The sequence below is a fragment of the Homo sapiens genome, chromosome X (genome assembly GCF_000001405.40).
Source record: "Homo sapiens chromosome X, GRCh38.p14 Primary Assembly".
NCBI lineage: Eukaryota > Metazoa > Chordata > Mammalia > Primates > Hominidae > Homo > Homo sapiens.
The window spans coordinates 18,260,634-18,286,131 of record NC_000023.11 but is presented as its reverse complement, the minus strand read 5'-3'; the positions used below and the strand labels follow the sequence as shown (position 1 = coordinate 18,286,131).

The following is a 25,498-nucleotide window of genomic DNA, read 5'->3' as shown; positions in this document are numbered from 1 at the left end:
GAGGAAAATCTGAAAACTACATGTATTCTTGCCATCTGTAGATTATCACTGCTAATATTTTGGTATATAAGGATTAGAATATTTTAATTAAAAATCAAATTTTAATTGCCAGTAGTCATTGAGACCAATTGAGGGCATCTTTTAAAAAGCATATGTTGTATTCTATTCTATGTACACAGAATTGTATTAATTTCATCTCATCTAATTAGGTATTCTTATTCTGTTATTCTGGTAGCTAACAGACTTAAAATGTGGTCCGATTGTAAATATATGAATTAGAGAAATTCCACAGGAAAATTTAAATTGTCAAGAAAGACTATCAGAAGGTACTCCACCAATATTTGGTGCAATAGTTTTTCTTAAAGGTATATTTAGTCAAGAGAATTGAAAAAACTCAATTTTTTTGAGGAAAAAACAAAAAACTAAAGCACCTAAACATGGACTTATTATTTTTAGATTTCAGCTTTTATTTTAGATACAGACGGTACATGTACAGGATTGTTACATGGGTATATTGCATCCAGGTAGTGAGCATAGTACCCAATAATTAATTTTTCAACCTCTCCTCCTCCTCACCCCCCCGTAGTCTGCAATATCTATTGTTCACATGTTTATGTCCATGTGTGCTCAGTGTTTAGCTCTCACGTATAAGTGAGGACATGCAGTATTTGATTTTCTGGTCTTGTGTTTATTTGCTTAGGATTATGGCCTCCAGCTCCATCTATGTTGCTGCAAAGGATATGATTCCATTCTTTTTTATGGCTATCTAGTATTCCATGGTGTATATGTACCACATTTTCTTTGTCTAGTCTACTATTGATGGCCACCTAAATTGATTCCACGTCTTTGCTATTGTGTATAGTGCAGCAATGAACATATGAGTGCATGTGTCTTTTTGGTATAATAATCTGTTTTCCTTTGGGTATATACTCAGTAATGGGATTGCTGGGCCGAATGGTAGTTCTGAGTTCTTTGAGGAATCTCCAAACTATTTTCCACAATGGCTGAACTAATTTATGTCCCCACCAACAATGTATAAGTGTCCCCTTTTCTCTACAGCCTTGCCAACATCTGTTTTTTTTTTTTTTTTTGAGGCGGAGTTGCGCTCTTGTTGCCCAGGCTGGAGTGCAATGGCACGATCTTGGCCCACTGCAACCTCCACCTCCCAGGTTCAAGCGATTCTCCTGCCTCAGCCTCCCGAGTAGCTGGGATTACAGGCATGTGCCACTGTGCCTGCTAATTTTGTATTTTTAGTGCGAGACGGGGTTTTTCCATGTTGGTCAGGCTGGTCTTGAACTCCTGACCTCAGGTGATCCACCCGCCTCAGCCTCCCAAAATGCTGGGATTATAGGCGTGAGCCACCACACCCGGCCACGTCTGTTGTTTTTTGACTTTTTAAATAATAGCCATTCTGACTGGTGTGAGATGGTATGTCATTGTGGTTTTGATTTGCATTTCTCTGATAATTAGTGATGATGAGCATTTTTTCATGTTTGTTGGCCATATGTATGTCTTTTGAGAAGTGTCTGTTCATGTTCTGTGTCCATTTTTAAATGGGGTTATTTATTTTTTGCTTGTTGATTTAAGTTTCTTATAGATTCTGGATATTAGACTTTTGTTGGATGTGTATTTTGTGAATATTTTCTCCCATTCTGTAGGTTGTCTGTTTATTCTGCTGATGGTTTCTTTGGCTGTGCAGAAGCTCCTTTGTTTAATTAGCTCCCACTTGTCAATTTCGTTGCACTGGCTCTTGAGGACTTAGCTAAAAATTCTTTGCTAAGGCCAATGTTGAGAGGGTATTTGCTAGGTTTTCTTCTAGGATTTTTATAGTTTGAGGTCTTACATTTGAATCTTTAATCCATCTTGAGTTAATTTTTGTATATGGTGAAAGGTAAGGGTTTAGTTCCATTCTTCTGCATATGGCTAGCCACTTATCGCAGCACCATTTATTGAATTAGGGAGTCCTTTCTCCATTGTTTGTTTTTGTTGGTCTTGCACAAGATCAGATGGTTGTAGGTATATGGCTTTATTTCTGGGTTTTCTGTTCTGTTCCATTGGTCTGTCTGTTTTTGTACCAGTACCATGCTTATAGTATAGTTTAAAGTTGGGTAGTGTGATACCTCTGGCTTTGTTCTTTTTTGTGTAGGATTGCTTTGGTTATTTGGGCTCTCCTTTGGTTCGGTATGAATTTTAGAATAGTTTTTTTCTAATTTTGTGAAGAATGACACTAATAGTTTGTTAGCAATAGTGTTGAATCTGTAAATTGCCTTACACAGTATGGCTGTTTTAATGATATTGAGTCTTCCAATCCATGAGTATGGGATATTTTTCCATCTATTTGTGTGATCTCTAATTTCTTTCTGCAGTGTTTATAGTTCTTCTTGTAGAAATCTTTCACCTTCTTGGTTACCTGTATCTAGATATTTCATTTTCCTTGTGGTTGTTGTAAATGGGATTGTGTTCTTGATTTGACTCTAAGCCTGGATATTATTGGTATGTAGAAATGTTACTCATTTTTCCGCATGGATTTTTATATCCTGAAACCTTGCTAAAATAATGTATCAGTTCTACTAGCCTTTTGGCAGAGTCTTCGGGGTTTCCTAGGTATAGAACATATCATCACTGAAGAGAGATAGTTTGACTTCTTCTTTTCCTGTTTGGATGCTTTTTATTTCTGACTGTTCTGGCTAGAACTTCCAGTACTATGTTGAATAGAAGTGGTGAGAGTGGGCATCCTTGACTTGTTCCAGTTCTTAAGGGGAATGGTTCCAGCTTTTGCCCATTTAGTATGATGTTGGCTGTGGGTTTGTCATAGATGGCACTTATTATTTTGAGGTATGTTTGTTTGATGCCCAGTCTATTGAGGGTTTTTATTATGAAGAGATGTTGGGTTTTATCGAAAGCTTTTTCTGCACCTATTGAGATGATTGTGTGGTTTTGCTTTTAATTCTGTTTATGTGTTGAATCACATTTATTGATTTGTGTGTGTTGAACCAACCTTGCATCCCAGGAATAAAGCCTGCTTGATCGTGGTGAATTAACTTTTTGATGTGCTGCTGGATTCAGTTTGCTAGTATTTTGTTGAGGATATTTGCCTCTGTATTCATCAGGGATAGTGGCCTGAAGTTTTTTTTTCTTTGTCATGTCTCTGCCAGATTTTGGTATTAGGCTAATGATGCTAGCTTCATAGAATGAGTTCAGGAGGAGTCCTTCCCCCTCAGGTTTTTGGAATAGTTTCAGTAGGATTGGTACCAGCTCTTCTTTGTATGTCTGATGGAATTCGGCTGTGAATTCATTTGTTCTGGGGCTTCTTTTGGTTGGCAGGTTTTTTATTACTGATTCAATTTCAGAGCATGATATTGGTCTAGTCAGGGTTTCAATCTCTTTCTTATTCAATCTTGGGAGATTGTTTGTTTCCAGGAATTTATCCATTTCCTCTAGATTTTCTAATTTGTGTGTGTAGAGTTTTGTTGGTTTTGTTAGTTTGTTTGTTTGAGATAGGGTCTCACTTTGTCACCCAGGCTGGAGTGCAATGGCGTGATCTTGGCTTACTGCCACCTCAACTTCCTGGGCTCAAGTGATCCTCTCGCCTCAGCCCCACAAGTAGCTGGAATTACAGGTGTGTGCTACTATGCTTGGCTAATTTTTGTATTGTTAATAGAGACGGGGTTTTACTATGTTGCCCAGGCTGGTCTCGAACTCCTGGATTCAAGCAATCTACTCACCTCGGCCTCCCAAAGTGCTGGGATTACAAGTGTGAGCCACCGCGCCCGGCCTTGCATAGAGTTGTCCATAGTATTCTCTGAGGATCTTTTATATTTCTGTGGGATCAATTGTAACGTCATCTTTATCATTTCTGATTGTACTTATTTCTATTTTCTCTTTTTTTTTCTTTGTTAACCTAGCTAGTGGTCTATCAATCATGTTTATTTTTGCAAAGAACAAACTCTTGGTTTCCTTGATCTTTTGTATGGATTTTTGCGTCTCAGTTTTGTTTTTGTTTTTTTTGAGACGGAATTTCACTCTTGTTGCCCAGGCTGGAGTGCAGTGGCGCGATCTTGGCTCACTGCAACCTCTGCCTCCTGGGTTCAAGTGATTCCCTTGCCTCAGCCTCCCAAGGAGCTGGGATTACAGGTGCACGCCACCACGCCCAGCTAATTTTGTATTTGTAGTAGAGATGGGGTTTCTCCATGTTGATCAGGCTGGTCTTGAACTCCTGACCTCAGGTGATCCACCCACCTTGGCCTCCCAAAGTGCTGGGATTACAGGCGTGAGCCACAGCGCCCAGCCTATGTCTCACTTTTATTAAATTTGCCTTTAATTTTAGTTATTTCTTTTTTCTGCTAGCTTTGGGGGTTGGTTTTTTTTTTTCTTTCTAGTTCCTTTAGGTGCCAAGTTGGATTTTTTTTTTTTTTTTTTTGAGACAGAGTCTCACTCTATCCCCCAGGCTGGAATGCAGTGGTGCGATCTCAGCTCACTGCAACCTCCGCCTCCCAGGTTCAGGTGATTCTTATGCCTCAGCCTCCCGAGTAGCTGGGATTACAGGTGCCTGCCAGCACGCCCGGCTAATTTTTGTATTTCTAGTAGAGACGGGGTTTTGCCATGTTGGCCAGGCTGGTCTCGACCTCCTGACCTCAGGCAATCCACCTGCCTTGGCCTCGCAAAGTGCTGGGACTACAGGCCGGAGTCACTGTGCTTGGCCCAAAGTTAGATTTTTAATTTGAGATCTTTGTAACTTGTTGATGAAGGCATTTAGGACTATAAACTTTCCTTTTAACACTGTTTTAGCAGCATCCCAGAGATTTCGGTAAGTTGTTTCCTTATTTTTATTAATTTCAAAGAATGCTTTGATTTCAGCCTTAATTTTGGTGTTTACCCAGGAGTTATTCAGGAGCAAGTTGTTTAATTTCCATGTATTTATGTAGTTTTGAGAGATCTTGGTAGTGATTTCTATTTTTATTGCACTGTGGCCCAAGAGTGTGCTTGGTATGATTTCAGTTTTTTTTAGTTTTATTGAGACTTGGCTTTATGACTGAGTGTGTGGTCGATTTTAGAATATGTTCTGTGTGCAGATGAGAAGGATATATATTCTGTGGTTGTTGGGTGGAGTATTCTGTAGATGTCTATTAGGTCCAGTTGGTCAAGTGTTGAGTTTAAGTCTAGAATTTCTTTATTAGTTTTCTGCTTCAGTGATCTAACACTATCAGTGAGGTGTTGAAGTCTCTCAGTATTATTGTGTGGTTGTCTGAGTCTTTTCTTAGGCCAGGAAGAACTTGTTTTATGAATCTGGGTGCTCCAGTGTTGGGTGCATATATATTTAGCATAGTTAAGACTTCTTGTTGGATCATACCCTTTATCATTATATAATTACCTTCATTATCTTATTTTTTATTGGTTTAAAGTCTGTTTTATCTGATATAAGAATAGCGACTCCTGTTCTTTTTTGTTTTCTGTTTGTGTGATAGATCTCCATTCTTTTACTTTGAGCCTATGAGTGTTGTTACATGTAAGATGGGTGTCTTGAGGACAACAGATGGTTAGGTCTTGTCTTTGTATTCAGCTTGCCATTCTGTGTCTTTTAAGTGGAGTGTTTAGCCCATTTACATTCAAGGTTAGTACTGATATGTATGATTTTGATCCTGTCATTGTGTTGTTAGCTGGTTGTTATGTAGACTTAATTGCATACTTGCTTTATAGTGCCTGTGGGCTATGTGCTTAAATGGGTTTTCGTGGTAGCAGGTGTCATTCTTTCAATTTCATGTTTCACACTCCCTTAAGGATCTCTTGTAAGGCTGGTCTAGTTGAAATGCATTCTCTCAGCATTTGCTTGTCTGAGAAGGATTTTATTTCTCCCTCATGTATGAAGCTTCATTTGGTGGCATATGAGATTCTTGGTTGGAATTTCTTTTCTTTAAGGACACTGAAAATAGGCTCCCAATATCTTCTGGCTTGTAAGGTTTCTGCTGAGGGTCTACTGATAGTCTGATGGGATTCCCTCTGTACATGACTTGACCCTTATTTCTGGCTGCCTGTAAAATTTTTTCTTTTGCATTGACCTTGGTGAATCTCATAACTATGTGCTTTGGGGATGGTTGTCTTGACCGTCTAGCTGGTGTTCTCTGTATTTCTTCTGTTTGCATGTCAACCTCTTTAGTGAGATTAGGGAAAATTTCATGGACTGTATCGTCAAATATATTTTCCAAGTTGCTTATTCTCTGTCCTCTCTCAGAAATGCTAGTGAGTCATAGATTTGGTCTCTTTGCATAATCCCATATTTCTCAGAGATTTTGTTCGTTTTTAAAAATCATTTTTTCTTTCTTTTTGCCTGACTGAGTTGATTCAAAGAAGTAGTCTTCGAGCTCTTGAGATTCTTTCCTCAGCTTGGTCTCTTCTACTTGTTAATACTTTTGATTGTATTATGAAATTCTTGTAGTGAGTTTTTCAGTTCTAGAAGTTCAGTTTGGTTCTTTCTTAAAATGGCTATTTTGTCTTTCACCTCTCACATTGTTTTACTGGATTTTTTGGATTGGATTTCAGCTTTCTCTTGAATCTTAATGAGCCTCCTTGCGCATCCGGATTCTGAATTCTGTGTCTGTCATTTCAGACTGATTAAGAACCATTGCTGGGGAGCTAGTAGACTCCTTTGGAGGTAAAGAGGACACTCTGGCTTTTTGAATTGCCAAAGTTCTTGTGCTGATTCTTTCTCATCTAGGAGGGTTGGTGTTCCTTTAACTGTGGTGTAAGTTGAGTATAGTCCATTGGCTTCATTTCTGGATGCTTTCAAGGGGCCAGTGCCCTGTGCAGGATCTTTATGTGTAGGTGAATTCTTACATTTGATTTATAGGTGTATTTATTAGCCCAATAATTTTTCGTTTTGTAGTTTGTGCTGTGATCCAGTAGATGGCACTTGACAGTAATAGCTGTAGGTTGTTAGGTTAGTACCCATCCACGCTTTTGTACTTCCTCGTGTCCACAGGCATGCTCTATAGTGGGGTACAGAGGAAGAGAAGTGGTCCCCTCCCAGGTCTGCTCCTGGGCCTTGGGGGAGCCCCCTCTGATGACTGTTGTGCTTGTGATTCTTTTGTTAGGTTTTCCAGGTTGTGGTGTCCTGTCGGGCAGGGGTTGCAGTGGAGAAATACACCACACCCCTTCTGGACCGGCCCTCCGAGGGAGGCACACCCTGCTCCCGCCCTGGCTCAGGAACCTACATGTCTTGCCCCTCTCAGGGCTCTGAGGGTGGGTACCCCTCCTCTCCTCGAGTGGCAGCCACAGATCTCAGCTGTATACTCCCTAGTTGCAGGCTGCAGCCGTGGAGGAACTGGAACTTTCCGTGGCTCCTGGTCAGGTTCCAGCTGTGCTGGGGGATCTGATGTGCTTCTTGGTTGCTAGGAAAGTAATCAGTTGCAGCAAGGCACTCAGGCTGGGCTGCAGGGGCTGTGCCGTGCACCTGCTCCTGCACAGTAGCTAGGCATTGGGCCTGGGAGGGGCTGGTGGCAGGAGGGCTTGCAGAGCAGGCATGCTCCAGTCCCATGGGGAAGCTGGCCCAGCTCTCTCCTGGCTCAGAGATCAGCTGGGTGTCTGTGGCTGCTCTCTGCCAGAGCTGCCCAGCACATAAAACCTCCTGGGCTCTGCACCATCCAAAGGCCTGTCTCTGCCTCCTTCCCGGGTAGATCCCCCTGCCAATTCACATGTCCATGGGGGATGCAGGGTCCTCTGTAGCTAAAGTCACAGAGGTCCGTGGCCAGAGTGAGTTGTCCTTCAGTTCTTTTACCCCTTTCTCAGGAGCTGTTCAGGGCTGGGAGCTAGCCTTGCATTCGGGTACCCTGTGCAGGGTTCCCAGCTTCCTCCCTCTTCAGCCTTTGCTTCAGTGGTGCCTATCCATTCACTCTTGGTGTTTTCTCCCCAAAGATCTGCCCAAATTATGGTGCTTTAGTTGATAATTTGGTGTCTCTCTTTTATTATTTATTTAATTTCAAAATCGGGTCTCACTCTGTTGCCCAGGCTGGAGTGCAGTGGCATGATCTCAGCTCACTGCAGTCTCTGCCTTCCAGGCTCAAGTGATCCTCTCACCTCAGCCTCCTAAGTAGCTGGGACTACTGGCGTGTGCCACCACATCTGGCTAATTTTTGTAGAGATGGGGTTTTACCATGTTGCCCAGGCTGATGTCGAACTCCCGAGCTCAAGTGATCCTCCCGCCTCGGCTTCCCAAAGTGCTGGGATTACAGGTGTGAGCTACCACACCCAGCTAATTTGGCCTCTCTTGGTGGGAACGGCACTTCCTGCTGTGTCTAGTTGGCCATCTTCTCCCCTATTACACTGGATTATTAAGGAAGGGCATGTCGATATTTGTTTTCTGTACTACTTTGTTCTTTTTTTTTGTGGTTTATGTAAGCTCCCTCAAATTTGAACGTGAAAAACATATTTAACCAAAATATTTAATTCTGTTTTATGTTTAAGTTTATAGAAGAAAATATTTTGATTAAAAGATCTCTTTTCATTTTCCTCCTCATTAATTAAAAATAGTACCCAGTTTAAACAAAGAGCATAAGCTTTTGGGTAAGACAGTTCTGAATTTGAATCCTAGTTCTACCACTTCTAGACTAATGTGTGATACTGGGTTGGGTGGTTACTTATCTTGCTGAGCCTCTGTTTATTCATATTTAAAATAGAGATAACACTTGCTTCACAAAATTGTAAAGACAAATTTTAATACTATATGCAGAGTCTATGGCACATTTGAGGTTTGCAAATTTCCTTCCTGGACCTGGCATGGTGGCTCATGCCTATAATCCCAGCACTTTGGGAGGCCGAGGTGGGTGGATTGCTTGAGGCCAGGAGGTTGAGACCAGCCTGGGCAACATGGTGAAACTCTGTCTCTTCAAAAAATAAAAAAGTTAGCTGGGTGTGGTGGTGCATGCCTGTAGTCCCAGCTACTTGAGAGGCTGAAGTGGGAGGATCTCTTGAGCCTGGGAAGTCGAGGCTGCAGTGAGCCATGATCACACCACTGCACTCCAGCCTGGGTGACAGAGTGAGAACCTTGTCTCAAACAAAAACAGAAACAAATTTTCTTCCTTGTTTTTATTTATCCCAAGGTTGGTTTTTTTGTTTGTTTTTGGTTTTTTTTTTTTAGATGTGGTGAAATTCACATAACATAAAATTAGCCATTTTAAAACGAACAATTCAAGAGCATTTAGTACATTCACTATGTTGTGCAACCATCACCTCCATTTTATTCTGAAACATTTTTATCACCTTAAAAGAAAACCCTGTGCCCATTAAACAGTTGCTCCCCATTTCTTTCTCCCCCTTGCCCTTGTTAATCACCAATCTATATTCTGTCTCTATGGATTTACCTATTCTAGATATTAATAGTTTGTGTAAATGGGATCATACAAGGTGTGACCTTTTGTGTCTTTCACTTAGCATAATGCCTTCAAGGTTTATACATGTTGTAGCATATATCAGTACTTCATTCCTTTTTATGACTGAATACTATTCCTTTGTATGGATATGTCACAATTTGCTTATCCATTTCTCCGTTGATGGACATTTAGGCTTTTTCCACCTTTTGGCTACCGTGAATAGTGCTGCTGTGAACATAGGTGTGTATGTATGTATGTCAATGTATGTATACGTATGTATGTATGTCAATACATACATACACACCCATGTTCATAGCAGCACTACTACCATATGAGCTACCAATTCCACTCACATATATATGAGTACGTCTTTTCAGTTCTTTGGGATCTGTACCTAGGAGTGGAATTGGTAGCTCATATGGTAATTTAATTTTTTTGAAGAACTGCCAAACTGTTTTTTTTTTTTTTTTCTTCTTGAGACTGAGTTTTGCTCTGTCACCCAGGCTGGAGTGCAGTCGTGCAATCTTGGCTCACTGCAACCTCCGCTTCCTGGGTTCAACCAATTGTCGTGCCTCATGCTCCCGAGTAGCGGAACTACAGGTGTGCACCACCACGCCTGGCGGATTTTTGTGTTTTTAGTAGACACGGGGTTTCTGTTGGCCAGGCTGATCTCGAACTCCTGACCTCAGCTGATCTGCCTGCCTTGGCCTCCCAGAGTGCTGGGATTACAGGCGTGAGCCACTGCGCCCGGCTGCTAAACTGTTTTTCACAGCAGCTGCACCACTTTACATTCTCACTAGCAGTGTACAAGGGTCCTGATTTCTCCACATCCTTGCCAACGGTTGTTATTTGTCATCTTTTTTATTATAGCCATCCTAGTGAGTATGAAGTGGTACCTAAATTTGCAGTTCTTCCTTCTGTTTTGAATATATTCTAAAAATTAAGTTGGTCGATGAGTATTTGAAGCTTACTTTTGCCAAGAAAATGGTAAAATGTTACGATCAAGCTATAGTAGTCAATTTAATGCATAAACACCCTGAATTGTTTCTATGAGAACATAAGATCAGAGACAAAACCTGAATTTTAAACAGTCATTAACATTAACAATCAGCAAACATTTATTGGATGCACATTATATGGTAGGCCCTAGACCAGATATTTGAGATATAACAGTGGAACTTAACATAGTTCCTTCTCCTAAGGGAACTCACAGTGTGGTGGGACAGATAGATATATGTAAATAAAGATAAGATGTTATAAGGTCTATGCCAATAGAGATAAATACATACAGTATGTGTGCTGTGTGAGCATCATGGTCCTATGTTTGCCTGGGTAACTTATTGCTAGAATTTTACAGAGCTGGTAGTTGAGCAGAATTTCAAAGAATGTGTAATAGTTTAGCCATTGACAACAAGGAAGGGAAGCCCTTTCCTGAAAGGAGGATCGATCTCTGTGAAGACAGAAAGAGTGAGAATGGAAGCCTGAGCAGATGTTGACGAAAAGTCAAATTCTGTAAAATGTTTGAAGAGGTTTATTCTGAGCCGAATATGAGTGACCCTGGCATGTGACACAGCCCCCAGGAGATCCTGAGAACATGTGCCCAAGGTGGTCAGGGTGCAGCTTGGTTTTATACATTTTAGGGAGACATGAGACTGCAATCAAATACATTTAAGAAAATACATTGGTTTGGTCCAGAAAGGTGGGACAGCTCGAAGGTGGGGGGACTTCCAGGTCATAGAGTTAAAATTTTTCGAATTGGCAATTGGTTGAAAGAGTTATCAGTAGGAAGAAATGTCTGGGTTGTGATATGAGGTTGTAGAGACCAAGTTTTATCATGTAGATGAAACCTGCAGGTAGCAGGCTTCAGAGAGAATAGATCATAAATGTTTCTTATCAGACTAAAGGTCTGTGTTGATATTAATGCTGGAGAGGTATAACGAGGCATATCCGACCCCTGTTTCTCATCAGACCTGAACCAGTCTTTCAGGTTAAATTTTAAAGTGCCCTATCCTAGGGGGAAGTCCATTCCGATGGTTGGGAGTGGGGCTTAGAATTTTATTTTTTGGTTTACACAGATGATTATGGCAGAATCTATAATGACAGCTGGGAAAAAAGATGGGGCTATGAAGATACACAGAGGGCAGATAGTAGAGGGCCTTAGACAGCAGACCAGGGAATTAAGATTTTAGCATGTAGGTAATGTGGCATCACTGAAGAGTTTCAAGTGGAAAAGTGACATAAATTTGTATTTTCTAAAGATCATGCTTATGGGCTAGAGTATGGATCAGAAAGGGCAGCCTGGAATGGCAATTAAGAGGCTAATGTAGCTTATGTGAGAGGTTATTGAAGCAGGATATTTCCCTGACCCCTTCATGGGTGGGAACTGGAGTGCACTAGCTGGCTGCTTTGGTGCCGGCAGGGGCAAACTCCACTCACTTGGACCTGCTACATTCCACCCCTTGTGGGAAGAGGAACATACAGGTGGGCAGGTGCAGGAGCTGGGGCGAGTGCTTTTGGGCGCTGGAAGGAGTGAACTCCATGGGGGCCCCATGGCAGCATCTAGGGGGGTACCTGTGACCCCTGAAGCCCCAGAGGGAGTGTTAACAGTCAGTGTTCTTTTAGCTCTGCCATCCACAGATGGCTTAAGTGTTAACAGCTCAGTGGAGGGTCAGTGTGACAGCCTTTTGCACTCGCACTTGTGGCACCTGAGTTCTTGTCTGGCATCCAGGAGGAATGAGGTTGCATGAGTGAATTTGAAGTATAGTAAATGTGGGGGATTTTATTGCTGATGGAGGTGGCTCTCAGTGGGATGGGGAATTGAAAAGGGGATGGAGTGGGAAGGCAATCCTCCCCTGAAGCTACACTGGCAAGCTGTCCCTCTGAAGTGAAGCCGCTTCTCTGTGATGTCCAACCATAGTCTCTGAGGTCCAGCTACTTCTCCTCACTCTGCCAGCTGAGACTGGGGTTTTTATGGGCACAGGATGGGGGGTAAGGGGGGCCATGGGTGGTTTTGGAAAAGGCAACATTTGAGCAGTAAAACAGAGATGTAAGTTCTCACTTTGGGCCATGGTATCAAGCTTTTTGGCTTGAGGGTAAGGCCCTTGCTGGGAACCCACCCTCCCAGAATTTCTCTGCCTCCTGTTTCTATCATTATGAGGTCCTGAATCAAGTCATTGACAGGCATGAATAACACATCTGGGAAATACTTGGGAGGTAGGCTTGGCTAGACATTTGGAGGGAGGAAGCATACAAGGATGACTTCAAGATTTCTGACTTCAGATAGGTAATGTCGTTCATCAAGATAGAGAATTTAGGATAAACAAAATGAATTCTACTTTTGGAAATGTTGAATTTGGGATGCTTATGTAGATATCTAGTTGGCTATTGAAAACATCTCTGGAACTTGCAAGAGGCCTATGCTAGAGAGAGGGAGAGAGAGTATGCAGGCATGTGCACAAGTATGCATGCACTTGAGCAGGCAAGAGAACGTGAGAGTGAATGATTTGGTAATCATTACTATAGGCAGTAGCTGAAATAATGGGACTGAACTAGAGCACTCAAAACTGAGGTGGGGATGGGGGAGAAGGCAGTCAATCATGAGGAACACTACTGGAAAAGTGACGGAAGTAGGAGGGAACTCAGGAAAGAGTTGCTATGTGAGACTTAAAGAATTTTGAAAAGAAGGCAGAGTGTCTAGTGCTAAAAATCAAGTAAGATCAGGAAGAGGCATCCATTGTCAATGGCTGTTAGGAAGTTGTTGGTGATATTAACACACAAAGGTTCCCTAAAAGGTTGTATCTGTGGAAATGTTGTTATAGCAGGTTAAAAATGAGAAAATCGTAATAATAGTGAACATGGACTAGTCTTTAAAGAAGCTTAGTCTTAAAAGGAAATAGAGAAGGTATTAGCTGGGGAGAGTGTAGGTAAGTAGGATTTCCTTCTTTGGAGGAAACTTTTTTCCTTCCATTTGTCAGGCAGTGGCGGCAAGCCTTCCCCAGTCTCTAATCCATTGATAGAAGAGGGCAAGGAACACCTTTAGGGCCTGGGAAAGGAGGGTAGGAATAGAGACAGGGATGGTGATGTGAGTGTTGCTGCTGTTGATTAAATGTGCCACGTGCAAAATTTAAATAATCTGCCCCAAATCTCATAGGAGGTATTGTGTGGCGAAGCTGGATTTGAACCTAATTAGTATGGAACCAGTGTTCCTACAATAGATAGTGAGAAGCAGGGAAAGGAATAGCTGTAAAGAGCAATTGGTAACAGAGCCCCATGTCCATGTGATCTCTACCCCACCTCTTCTGAGAAAATTCTTAGTGTTCAGCTGGCTTCTGACTTCCAGATGCCTGTTGTGATAAGTACCAGGAACATGCTTCCTTGTTTTCCTTTCCACTGGTATCTACCCCTTGTGGTTTCCTTCTAGAGTTTTCCTCAGCCTTTGAGGTGTTCTTAAAGGGTATTTTGTTGTTGCTGAAAATAAGGAAATAAACATACATTTAAAGGACTTCTATGCTTATGGAGAGGTAAAGTCACTCTTATCTGACAGTAACAGTCCTTGAGTATTCAAAAGGTATTTTCAGAGGAAGAGCAGACTTGGTTGTTACGAATGTTTAATTCCCAAAGCAAGGTTGACCTCTGGGATGGGACGAGTGGCTCTTCTGATACAGGTAGGGGGAAGGGAGAGAAGAAATAGAGCAGTATCTGAAGACACCAGTCAAGGAAGCCAGTGTTATGGTATGGGATGGCAGCAGGAGCAAATGAAGGAAGCTCACGGGGTTTATACCTGACCTACCTCCCCTTTGCTCTTATTGCTGCCCATGATTGATTAGTTTGTGGCAATCTGGGTTCTGTGGGACAGGGAGCAAAGTTCCAAGCAGAGGCATTGGGCAGCACAGCTGAGTGTATATGAACTCTAGGCTTCCTTTAAGTGAAAAGGTGAAAGTTGTTGACTGAATAAGGAAAGACAAAAATCATATGCTTAGGTTGCCAAGGTCTACAGTAAGAACAAAACTTTTATCTATGAAATTGCAAAGAAGGGAAAAAAAATTCGTACATAGTATATATGGAGTCTGATACTATCGGCAGTTTCAGGCATCCACTGGGCAGGGGGGTGGGGGAGCATCTCAGAATGTATCCCCCAGAATATATGGATAACGGGGGGATACTCTGCTTGTTAATATTTTTCCCTATAAACATGCTTTCACATCTGATTTTTTTTTTCTAAACAAGAGTCCCTGTCAGAGAGCACCTGTTGACTATTGACTATATAGTGAAACAGCACATAGGAGTTCACAAGGTTGTCCACTGGGTCATTAAAAAAAAACACACACACACATGCATCTTGACTTGGGAGTGAATTTGATGATGGCCTTTTTGTTGTTGTTGTTGTTGTTACAGGACAGAAAGCAGAGTGGCATATTGGAAAAGGCATGAGCTTAGGAGGCAAACACTCTTAACCACATGGGTGCTCTTGGCTCAGTTACCTAACCTCACAGAGCCTATGTTTCCTCATGTGTAAAGTGAGGAAACAATATCTACCTCATAGGATGTTTGGGAGGATTTCATGCAATAATGGATATTGAAGTGCCTAGCATGTAATGGGTAGCCAGTAAATATTGGCACCTATCTCCTTTCTTTCTCTAGTTTCCCTCATTCCAGGCTTCCAGACCCCCTGTTGGCTTTACTCCTTGCCTTCTAGATTGTTTCCCAAGATTTGTTAATTTCTTTTTCATTTCCACAATTCAATAATTATCATTTCTTGGATGTTTTTCTTACCTGGACATTTTCTGTTCTGTCTGAAGATAAGCTGAAGAACCAGGTAAATTTTGTGTTGGTTGTTTACATAAAAGTTTTATTAAAGATGAGTAGCATATCCTTCTTTATATTTCACATAACTTTTTCAAAAAGATTTTTATTCACTTTGTGACCACTATGAACACACAAAGTTTGTGTGTTCATATACATATGAACATATAAAGTTTTATATATAGTTTTAACCTTATTTAAACAAATCCATTTCCTATTTCAAGTAGTTTAATACTGAATAGAGTTTCAGCATGGTGTGTGTGTGTGTATATATGTATGTATATCTATATGTATGTTATATGATTGCTCCTGGGAGTTTAATTTTGATGTGTAATATATTGAATGGTTACTCTTTCCTTTTTAGTTGAATCGGCTTAAAAAGTATTTTATTCTAGGTGCTGGGGATATGGCAATAAATAAAATCGAGTCCTTAGGAGGCTGAGGTGGGAAGATTACTTGAGCCTAGGAGTTCAAGGCTTCAGTGAGCTATGATCACATCACTTCACTCCTGCATGTCGGCACTGGACGACAGAGTGAAACCTTGTCTCAAACAAAAAATGAAAAACCCCCAAAAAACTGAGTCCTTGACTTTGAAAAGCCTGCTTTCTAAAGTGAAATTTTGTTCATATGTAAAAATTTTTGGCCGGGCGCGGTGGCTTATGCCTGTAATTCCAGCACTTTGGGAGGCCAGGTGGGCGGATTGCCTGAGGTCAGGAGTTTGAGACCAGCCTGACTAACATGGTGAAACCCAGTCGCTACTAAAAATACAAAAATTATCCAGGCATGGTGGCACGCGCCTGTAGTCCTAGCTACTTGGGAGGCTAAAGCAGGAGAATTGCTTGAACCAGGGAGGTGGAGGTTGCAGTGAGCCGAGATCATGCCACTGCACTCCAGCCTGGGTGACACAGTGAGACTCTGTCTCAAAAAAAAAAAAAAAAATTTATAGTACTTTGTTTTTAACTTTGCTCATACATACATATATGCCATACATCAAAAAATTTTTATTATAATATAGAACAAATATATATACTTTAGGGGACTATTTGAAACTATAGCTTCAGTTTTCAAATGCCAAAATAGTTAGATCAAATATTGATTTCATTATAGTTGCCATGTTCTGTAAAGTTACTATTTGCTACAATTTAACTGCTTATTTTATATAGAATATACTAGTTTTGGGGGTATAACATTGACTTGCAGGCTGAAAATATTTTTCATTCGTTCATTCAGTATTTTTTGAGGACCTCCTATATTCCTAGGTTCTGTCTTAAACCAACCTGGCACAGGAATTTGAACCCAGATCTGGAGCTCAATTATTCCTCTTCTTCATTCTATATATTTAGAGTTGGGGACTAGAACTGTAGAGATCAGTAGATTGGTCAAGAGAATGAACATTTTATTTGGGTTTAGTAATTGTGTTAGTCTGTTTTCATACTGCTATAAGGAACTGCCCCAAACTGGATAATTTATAAAGGAGGTTTAATTGACTCACAGTTCAGCATGGCTGGAGAGGCCTCAGGAAACTTACATTCATGGTGGAAGGCAAAGAGGAAGCAAGGCACCTTCTTCACAAAGCAGCAGGAAAGAGAGGTTCCGAGCGAAGTGGGAAGAGCCCCTTATAAAACCATCAGATCTCGTGAGAACTCTCTTACTATCACGAGAACAGCATGGGGGAAACCGCCTCCATGATTCAATTTCCTCCACCTGGTCTCTCCCTTGACATGTGGGGATTATGGAAATTACAATTCAAGATGAGATTTGGGTGGGGACACAAAGCCTAACCATCTCAGTAACTAAAAAGAGGTCACTTAATGACCTTGGAAAATAATTTCTTTAAAATATGTTTGGGGGAAGAAAAGTTTATTACAGGGGCTAAGGAAATGGAATAATAAGGAAATTGAAATGTCAAGTATAGGTAATTCTTCTTGATGTTTTATTCATAGTAGTGAGTGGAAAGAGGGAATTCCCTCAAGGGCTTGAAAGTGTATCAGAAACAGGGAGGTAACTTCAAAATAAGGGATATGTGAAAGTAGTAAGAGACAGCAAGGAGTTGGGGATTGAGTGATCAAATATTGAGGAGAGAAGAGATAATTGAAACCAAAATGTCCCATAGGAACCAAAGCAAGGTGTTGTTAAGGCATAAATAAAAGAAGATTGGACTTCGAAAACTAGAGAGAAAACTTTTCTTTTTTTTTTTATTATTATACTTTAAGTTTTAGGGTACATGTGCACAGTGTGCAGGTTAGTTACATATGTATACATGTGCCATGCTGGTGCGCTGCACCCACTAACTCGTCATCTAGCATTAGGTATATCTCCCAATGCTATCCCTCCTCCCTCCCCCCACCGAGAAAACTTTTCATTTGATGTAAGAGAAAAAGATGAGAATGATTGAAAAAGTATTTTAAGATGGAGAAATGGGATTTTTTTTTTTTTTTGAGATGAAGTTTCACTCTTGTTGTCCAGGCTGGAGTGCAATGGTGCATTCTCGGCTCATTGCAACCTCTGCCTCCCGGGTTCAAGTGATTCTCCTGCCTCAGCCTCCCAAGTAGCTGGGATTACAGGCATGCACCACCATGCCTGGCTAATTTTGTCTATTTAGTAGAAATGGGGTTTCACCATGTTGGTCAAACTGATCTGGAACTCCTGACCTCAGGTGATCCACCTGCCTCAGCCTCACAAAGTGCTGGGATTACATGTGTGAGCCACTGCGCCCAGCCAGAGAAATGGGATTTTTAAGTTTACCCCCAAAGGGGATAGCCTTTAATCTTCTCATAAAGTAGAAGATTGGGTCATTCCCTGAATGGAAGAGAGAAAGGGAGATGGGAACTTAAATAGGGAAAAGCCTTCTACCATGGAAACATACTTGGAAATCAGTGAGTTGCAGCAGTGACTCCTCAGTTGAGGTTAGCATGGATTTTATAGACACCAGTAGCATCTTAATGTTCTAAAGCAAGAGTTGGCAAACAATAGCCTGAGGGCCACATCCAGCTCATGTAGCTTATAAGCTAAGAATTTTTTTAATATTCTTAATTGGTTGTAGAAAAATAAGCAAACAAAGAAACAAAAAAGGGCTGGGCGCAGTGGCTCACACCTGTAATCCCAGCACTCTGGGAGGCTGAGGCAGGTGGATCACGAGGTCAGGAGATTGAGACCATCCTGGCTAACGTGGTGAAACCCCGTCTCTACCACAAAATACAAAAAATTAGCTGGGCGTAGTTGGGCGTAGTGGCGGGCGCCTGTAGTCCCAGCTACTCGGGATGCTGAGGCAGGAGAATGGCATGAACCCGGGAGGCGGAGCTTGCAGTGAGCTGAGATCGCGCCACTGCACTCCAGCCTGGGTGACAGAGCAAGACTCCGTCTCAAAAAAAAAAAAACCCAAACAAAAAAGAATGTACGACAGAGACCTTATGTGGCCTTCAAAGCGTGAGATATTTAGTTTCTGGCCCTTCCTGGAAAAAGATAGCTAACCCTTGTTCTATAGCTCAGGACCAGAGAAAGCAGATGATAGTGTGACTCAGAGATGGGGACTGACATTCTGGACATGATCAAAGATCAAAGGGTGATAAAAGAAGGTATACTAGTTAGGGGTTTTTGGTGGAGGTGGACAGTTGGGTGCAGGTTGAGTAGAGAGTAAAGCAAAGCCAGAAGAAAGCTAATGGATTGCATGAAAATGGAATATGGGCTTGTGGATAGATGTCATAATGAGAATGTAAAGCCTGATCAGTTGGTTTGAAGCAAAGATAACAGGTAAGGAAGTTGGAATTGGAGAAAGGGGACATGGTTGGTTGTCTTGGAGATACAAGAGTTTCAGAAATTGCCAACTACAGCCATTTTAGGAAATAGCTGAACTCTCCAGTGATAAGGTCAGGATGATGAAGCATCCAAGAGTACGATGGTCAGATTCCTTAAGATGAAGACAGGAAGACTATGTATGCAGAAATAATGTGTGTTAGGTTACTGGACTTTTTCAAAAAAGTGGAAGTGAGCCTGGAGTATGAAGTAGATGATGGCAATGAGGTAAAAAGAGGCTGGTGTAAGTAGGCAAACTACTTGTAAATGAGGGGGAAAGTGATGTTGGCAGTGAAGTGGTCCTCTCTTTGCCCTGGCAGCTCAGGATAGGCTGTTCCTTCCTTTTGGTTTGGTAAGTGGTAGAAGGTAGATGAAAAGGCCGTAGGAAAGATGTGGTATTATCTATTGCGGGTCAGATTTACATGTACATAGTCTTTGAGTGTGGGAGGAACAAAGCAGCAGATTGGTTTGGAGTTGTAAAATGAAGCCCTCAAAATAACAGTAGTTGATTTTTGCATAGATGTATAAATGTTTCACTTACATAGTTCTTCCTGTAAAGAATTTTTTTAAGCATTAGTGCTTTTTACTATGTAAAATTCATTTATTTGTAATAATGAAATTATCAAGGAATTAATACTAAACATATCTCTTTTTACTTAAATGTGAACATGGACAAAAGTAACCTGGCAGGTAACCTTTATTTGAATATTGAAACTGTATTGGGCTACAAGGAAACTAGTAGCTACAAATCACTTGGGCCTGATAGTGATCTTTCCATGACAACATTAATGTAAAGTCTCTATTTTAGTATATGAAACTTTATTAGTAGACATACATATAGGGACATAATGTATATCAACCTTAAATATATAATTTTTATTTGCCAATTATACCTCATTAAATCTGAAAAAAGTCAAGAGCAAGGGAGCCCCTGCCCTCTGAAACATGAAGCAGGAGCCCTAGGCAATTGCTTTGCTATGTTTTTCTATGTTGATGTGAGAGATGATTCCTGTATATGACATAATTGGATAGTGTATTCTGAAGGAAAGACTCCTTTTTGTGCTTCCCATAAAAATATGGGAAGTTCCTAATAGGTAAGTTGCTAGGAATTTTTACCATGCTAAGTTGAAGTTACTGATTCCTCTAATAAAAACCGCTTTATTTTTTCTGGAGAATTAAACTATTTTCAAATAATATGAAATCTTAGGATACCTAAAACTTCATTTCAGATGGTACTTTTAGTTTTAAGTGGTTTTCAGTGAATAACCTTTGGAAATGGTTTTAAAGGTCGAGTAAAACTTATTTTGAGTCATGAGGAGACAATGCCTTAATTGTGTCATTTACTTTAATATTTTTTGTATTTTTTTCCTCAGTTCCTATTGTAAAGAATATAGCAAAAACAGAGTCTTCTCCTTCCGAAGCAAGCCAGCATTCAATGCAGTCTCCACAGAAAACTACTCTAATATTACCAACACAGCAGGTCAGGAGATCAAGTCGAATTAAACCACCTGGACCTACTGCAGTCCCCAAAAGGAGCAGTTCTGTTAAAAATATCACACCAAGGAAAAAAGGTCCAAACTCAGGAAAAAAGGTTAGTTGTATGTCCTCCTAATTTGTATTATAGGTTTTTATAGTGCCTTATTATTTATAACATACAATTTAGGAATTTACTAAGAGTATGATGAGGGTCTTTAGAAATGTACTAAGAGTATGTAGGCTTTTGAAAGCCTCACATAACTATCGATAGATTGTTATTTCTTTGCTTGGGCAAACTTAAAACTTTTTATAGTGTTCTACTTCTTCAAAACCACAATGAAAGTACTATTAATACATGGGTGTATTTATGTTCAGACTAGTTAGTTTGAAACTCAGTATACTTTAAAAATCAATGTGAAGTGAATCTTACTGTACATATATTATACCTCAATAAACTGGGGCAGGGAGAGAAGAATCAATCTGATGAATTCAATAATGCTGGAGTCAACTCTAAAACTTAGAAATAATAGAAAAAGCAACAACCTGAAGACACTGAAGAGTGAATGGAAGCAGACAGATTCTGGTGGCAGGGGAAGTACTCACTGGGATAAGGGGTGTTATACAAAGTGAGTTTCCATTGTTGTGGTTTTAAGCCTTAGGTCAAGTACACTTTGTGTACCATGTGAAACAACAGGAGTATTAGTAGAAAAACAACAATTTATCTGGCCTAGGGAAACCAGAAAATAGAAAAGCCAGGAAAACTGTGGCTGTTAAAGGGAATGGAGGGATTTTGGAAGGGAAAGGACCAGAGAGGTTATCTGCAAATTCTGTCTACCAACGTCTCTGACAGACCCCTGATCTGAGCATGTTTGTCTAATACACAACAGGCCGGTGTAGCTAAAGCAAAAGATCTGAACTGAGGCTGGATGAAATTAGGCCCAAGATCAGAATTTAAAGTTCAAGTCCAGCCAAGGTAATTACTAGCTAAACAAAAGAAATAACAATTATCAGAGAAATATAGAATTTAGAATCTGCACAAATTAATATTTGTAACATCTGGAATGTAATTCACAATTACCCAAATACATAGTAAAATGAATAATATTTTCAAGAAAAAAGAAAATCAACTGAGACAGACCCAAGTATAACCCAGATATTAGAACTAGCAAACAAAAATTTTAAAGTGGCTATTCAACTGGTCTTCGATGACATTACACAGACACACACACACACACACACACACACACACACACACACACACACACACAATCGTACTGATTAAAAAGACCATCTTAGTGGAGAAACAAAGGATAAAAAGGAGCCAAATTGAAACTCAAGAACTGAAAAATACAATATCTGAAGTAAAAGATTCACTGGACAAAATTAACCAGAATTGACTGGAGATGACAGGAGAAAGAGTAAATGAACTGGAAGATAGAAGAATAGAAATTATCCAGTGTGAAAAACTCAGACTAAGATTGAGAAAGAAAACGAACCCAGAGACCTTTTAGATAATATCAAAGGTCCAATACAATGTAATTGGAGTCCCAAAAGGAAAAGAAAGAGAAACTGGAGCAGAAAAAATATTTGAAGAAATAAAGTCTCAAAATTTTCCAAATGTCATGAAAGAAATGCATAGACACAATACTCAGCCAAGAGCAAACAGAATAAGCACAAAGACATCTATCTAAGCTGAGGCATATTAGAGTCAAACTGTTGAAAACCAGAGACAGAGCAAATCTTAAAGATAACAATGTAAGAATGAAAAAGTACATGCAGAGAAACAAAAATTTGATTAACAGCTGACATTTCTCATCAAAAGCCATGGAGGCCAGAAGAGAGTAGAACAACATCTTTAAAGGGCTGAAAGGAAAAAAAAAAAAAAAACTATCAACCTGAAATTCTGTATCTATCAAAAATACTCTTCTAGAATGAAGGTGAACTTAGAATATATATAATTTTTGTTTGTCAATTATACCTTAATAAAGTAGAAAAGATTCCTTAGTAGAATTCAATAGTTTTCTTCATATAATTTATACTCTCGTTTATTCTTATTTATTTCTGCATATTTTATGATTCTTGTTGCTATTGTGAAGGAAATCTTTTCCTTATTACTCTTTTCTATGAAACAAAAGATATAAATATTTCTTAAAAAGAATGAAGGTGAGGACATTTTCATTTTCAGATAAAAGCATACTAAGATAAATCATTGTCGAACCAGCACTGCAGGAAATGCTTAAAGGAAAATGAGACCAGATGGAAACCTGGTTTCTCAAAGAGAAAGGAATTGTTTTGAAGATGGTAAATCTTTGGGTAAATGCAAATGACTTATAATAACATGACTATTTATAACTAATTACAATACAGTGTTGCAGAGTTTATATTTAACAGACATGAAACAATTGTAGTATAAAGGCCTGACGTGGGGGATATGGATCCTATATCATTGCAAGATTTCACCATTTTATGTGAAGTGGTACAATATTAACTTTATGTGGCTTGTAGAAAGTTAAGGATGTACATTCTAATCCCCAGGGCATATTGTAAAAAAAAAAAATGCAAAGAATTATAGCTAAAAAGCCAATAGAAAATTAAAATGTAATTCTAAGGAATATTTGAATATTCAAATATATTCATTATAAAATATTCTAAGGAATATAAACTGTTAACAAAAGGAAAGGAGGGGCTGGGTACAGTGGCTCATGCCTGTAATCCCAGCACTTTGGGAGGCCAAGGCAGAAAGATCACTTGAACCCAGGAGTTTGAGACCAGCCTGGGCAACATGGCAAAACCCCATCTCTACACAAAATACACAAATTAGCTGGGTGCAGTGGCACACGCATGTAGCCCCAGCTACATGGGAAGCTGAGGCAGCAGCAGAGTTGCTTGAGCCTAGGAGGTGGAGGTTGCAGTGAGCTGAGATGGTGCCTTTGCACTCCAGCTTGGGTGACAGGAGTGAAACCTTGTCTCAAAGGGGGAAAAAAAAAGGAAAGGAAAAGGAGGAACAGAACCAAACACAGAGGAGACAAATCAAAAACAGGCAATGAAATAGTAGACCCAGCCAGGCGTGGTGGCTCACGCCTGTAATCCCAGCACTTTGGGAGGCTGAGGCTGGTGAATCACCTGAGGTCAGGAGTTCAAGACCAGCCTGGCCAACATGGCGAAACCCCATTTCTACTAAAAATACAAAAATTAGTCAGGCATGCTCACAGGTGCCTGTAATCCCAGCTACTCAGGAAGCTGAGGCACGAGAATCGCTTGAACCCAGGAGGTGGAGGTTGCAGTGAGCCGAGATTTCGCCACTGCACTCTAGCCTGGGCAACAGAGTGAGACTCCATCTCAAAAAAAAAAAAAAAAAAAAAGGTAGACCCAGATCCAAACATACTGGTAATTGCATGAAAAGTTAGTGGATTATCCTTTCTAGTTAAAAAGACAGAGATTATCAACATGGATTTTTTTTTAAAGACCCAAATATGTCCTGTCTACAAGAGATGCACTCTAAATATAAAGACATAGAATCTTTTCAGATCTCTTGTGGCTGACTGAATTAAATGCCAGCAGTATTATCTTACACATTCCTGAGTTCAGCCATCCGATATCAGTATCTATAACATTTCCATTTTGTTTCAACTTATGTTTGCTGTATGGAAAAAAAATAACATTGTGATTTTAAAATATATTGATACTGTTATTTTTCTTTAAAAACACTCAAAATTTACAAAATAAAAATCAAAAGTCAAAGCTAAATATTTCAAAAATATAGTCATGAACATTGAAAAAAATCAGGCAGATTGTTCTAATATAAATGGTAGCAGATGAAATTTTTTAAATGAAAAATAAAAGTAAGAAAAGTTAATAGTGAAATTTAAAGTGAAATAATATTTTAAATGCATTAAAAAATTAACATGTGTGTATATTTTCCAGCTTCTGAAATGTCTTTGTGATTAGTTGGTATAATGGTGAAAATGTAAGATAACACCAAATAGTTTCCTTTGACTCCTTTAGTTTCCAGTTCCAAGCTAATTTGATAATTTTGGAGAGCTCTCTTTGAAAACATTGTTTATTTGATGATGGGGATGGAGAAGGGGCAGGTACTTTAATCTTTTAAAAATTATTTTAAAAGTTTTTTACTTTTTATTATGAATACATAATACTTGTATGTATTTATGGGATCTATGTCATATTTGGATACAAGTTGTCATTTTCTTCCTCCCCTTAAGGGAGGAGTGCAGGAGCACATTTTCTTAATGAATGTACCTTTATTCAATTTGCAGTGTTAATGCAAACATACTATCTTGGTATGTCTCAAGACAAAGGATTCAGATTTCAGATTTTTAAAATAGTGAAAGAATGACATGGTCAACCCAGTAATTATAATTCAGTACTGAAAAATAACATGATTGTGTCCAGGCAGTGGCGCATGCCTATAATCCCAGCACTTTGGGAGGCGGAGGTAGGAGGATCCCTTGAGCCCAGGAGCTCAAATCCAGCCAGGGCAACATAGCAAGACAAAAAAAAAAAAATCACATTTTTTGTTTCTTTAACATTGATAAAGAACACTGTATCAATGTTAAATAAACAAAAAATGTGGTTTACTAGATTACTGTCAACCCAAACGACAGCCATTAATTTAAGCAAATAAATTTCAGCAACATCGAATGTTCTATTTTTTACTCCTTTGTTCCTGCCTTTTAAATGCCCTCTGTTATTACCTTTTCTATGCACAGGAGTCCCTTCTCTTATATTGGAGAGTCATGTTTGAAGGTAGCTCCTGGAAAACCCCAAGAGTTGATGTAAAATAAACAAAATGCTAGTGAAGTTTAACAATGCTCAGGAAACATTGGTTCTTATAGGCAGTAGGCATAATTTTGTATAGACTTTAGCAAGCCATCTGTTGTGATTTTGTCAGAATTATTGTATGTAATATGGAGAACTGTGGGTTAGACACAGCGAAGACTAACTAGATGAGCAACTTCTTTCTGAAAATAAACTCTGTCCTCTGCCTTGCTGAGATTTTTTTTCTATTGGAGGTATTGCTCTGGGTTAGAGATTTACAGACTTTTCTT

The 25,498-nt window shown here is 39.8% G+C and overlaps 1 protein-coding gene across 6 annotated transcripts in view, besides 1 other annotated feature; it reads left to right on the top strand.

Annotated features, from left to right (window-relative positions):
- Window positions 1-25,498, top strand: part of SCML2 (Scm polycomb group protein like 2) — a 115,806-nt gene that overhangs the window by 68,987 nt on the left and 21,321 nt on the right. For all 6 annotated transcript variants that reach the window (NR_033717.2, XM_017029219.2, XM_006724458.1 and 3 more), the window contains one exon: window positions 20,330-20,547. Coding sequence is in view for 5 of the 6 variants with exons in the window: in XM_017029219.2 (XP_016884708.1) it covers window positions 20,330-20,547 (218 nt within the window). In the remaining variant the exon portion in view is untranslated. The remainder of the gene's footprint in view (window positions 1-20,329; window positions 20,548-25,498) is intronic.
- Window positions 6,851-7,351: an enhancer, noted in NCBI's record as "H3K4me1 hESC enhancer chrX:18296901-18297401 (GRCh37/hg19 assembly coordinates)". NCBI's record gives its function as "activates a minimal SCP1, AML or CMV promoter by ChIP-STARR-seq in primed H9 embryonic stem cells {active_cell/tissue: H9 hESC(primed)}" and the evidence as "EXISTENCE:reporter gene assay evidence [ECO:0000049][PMID:30033119]".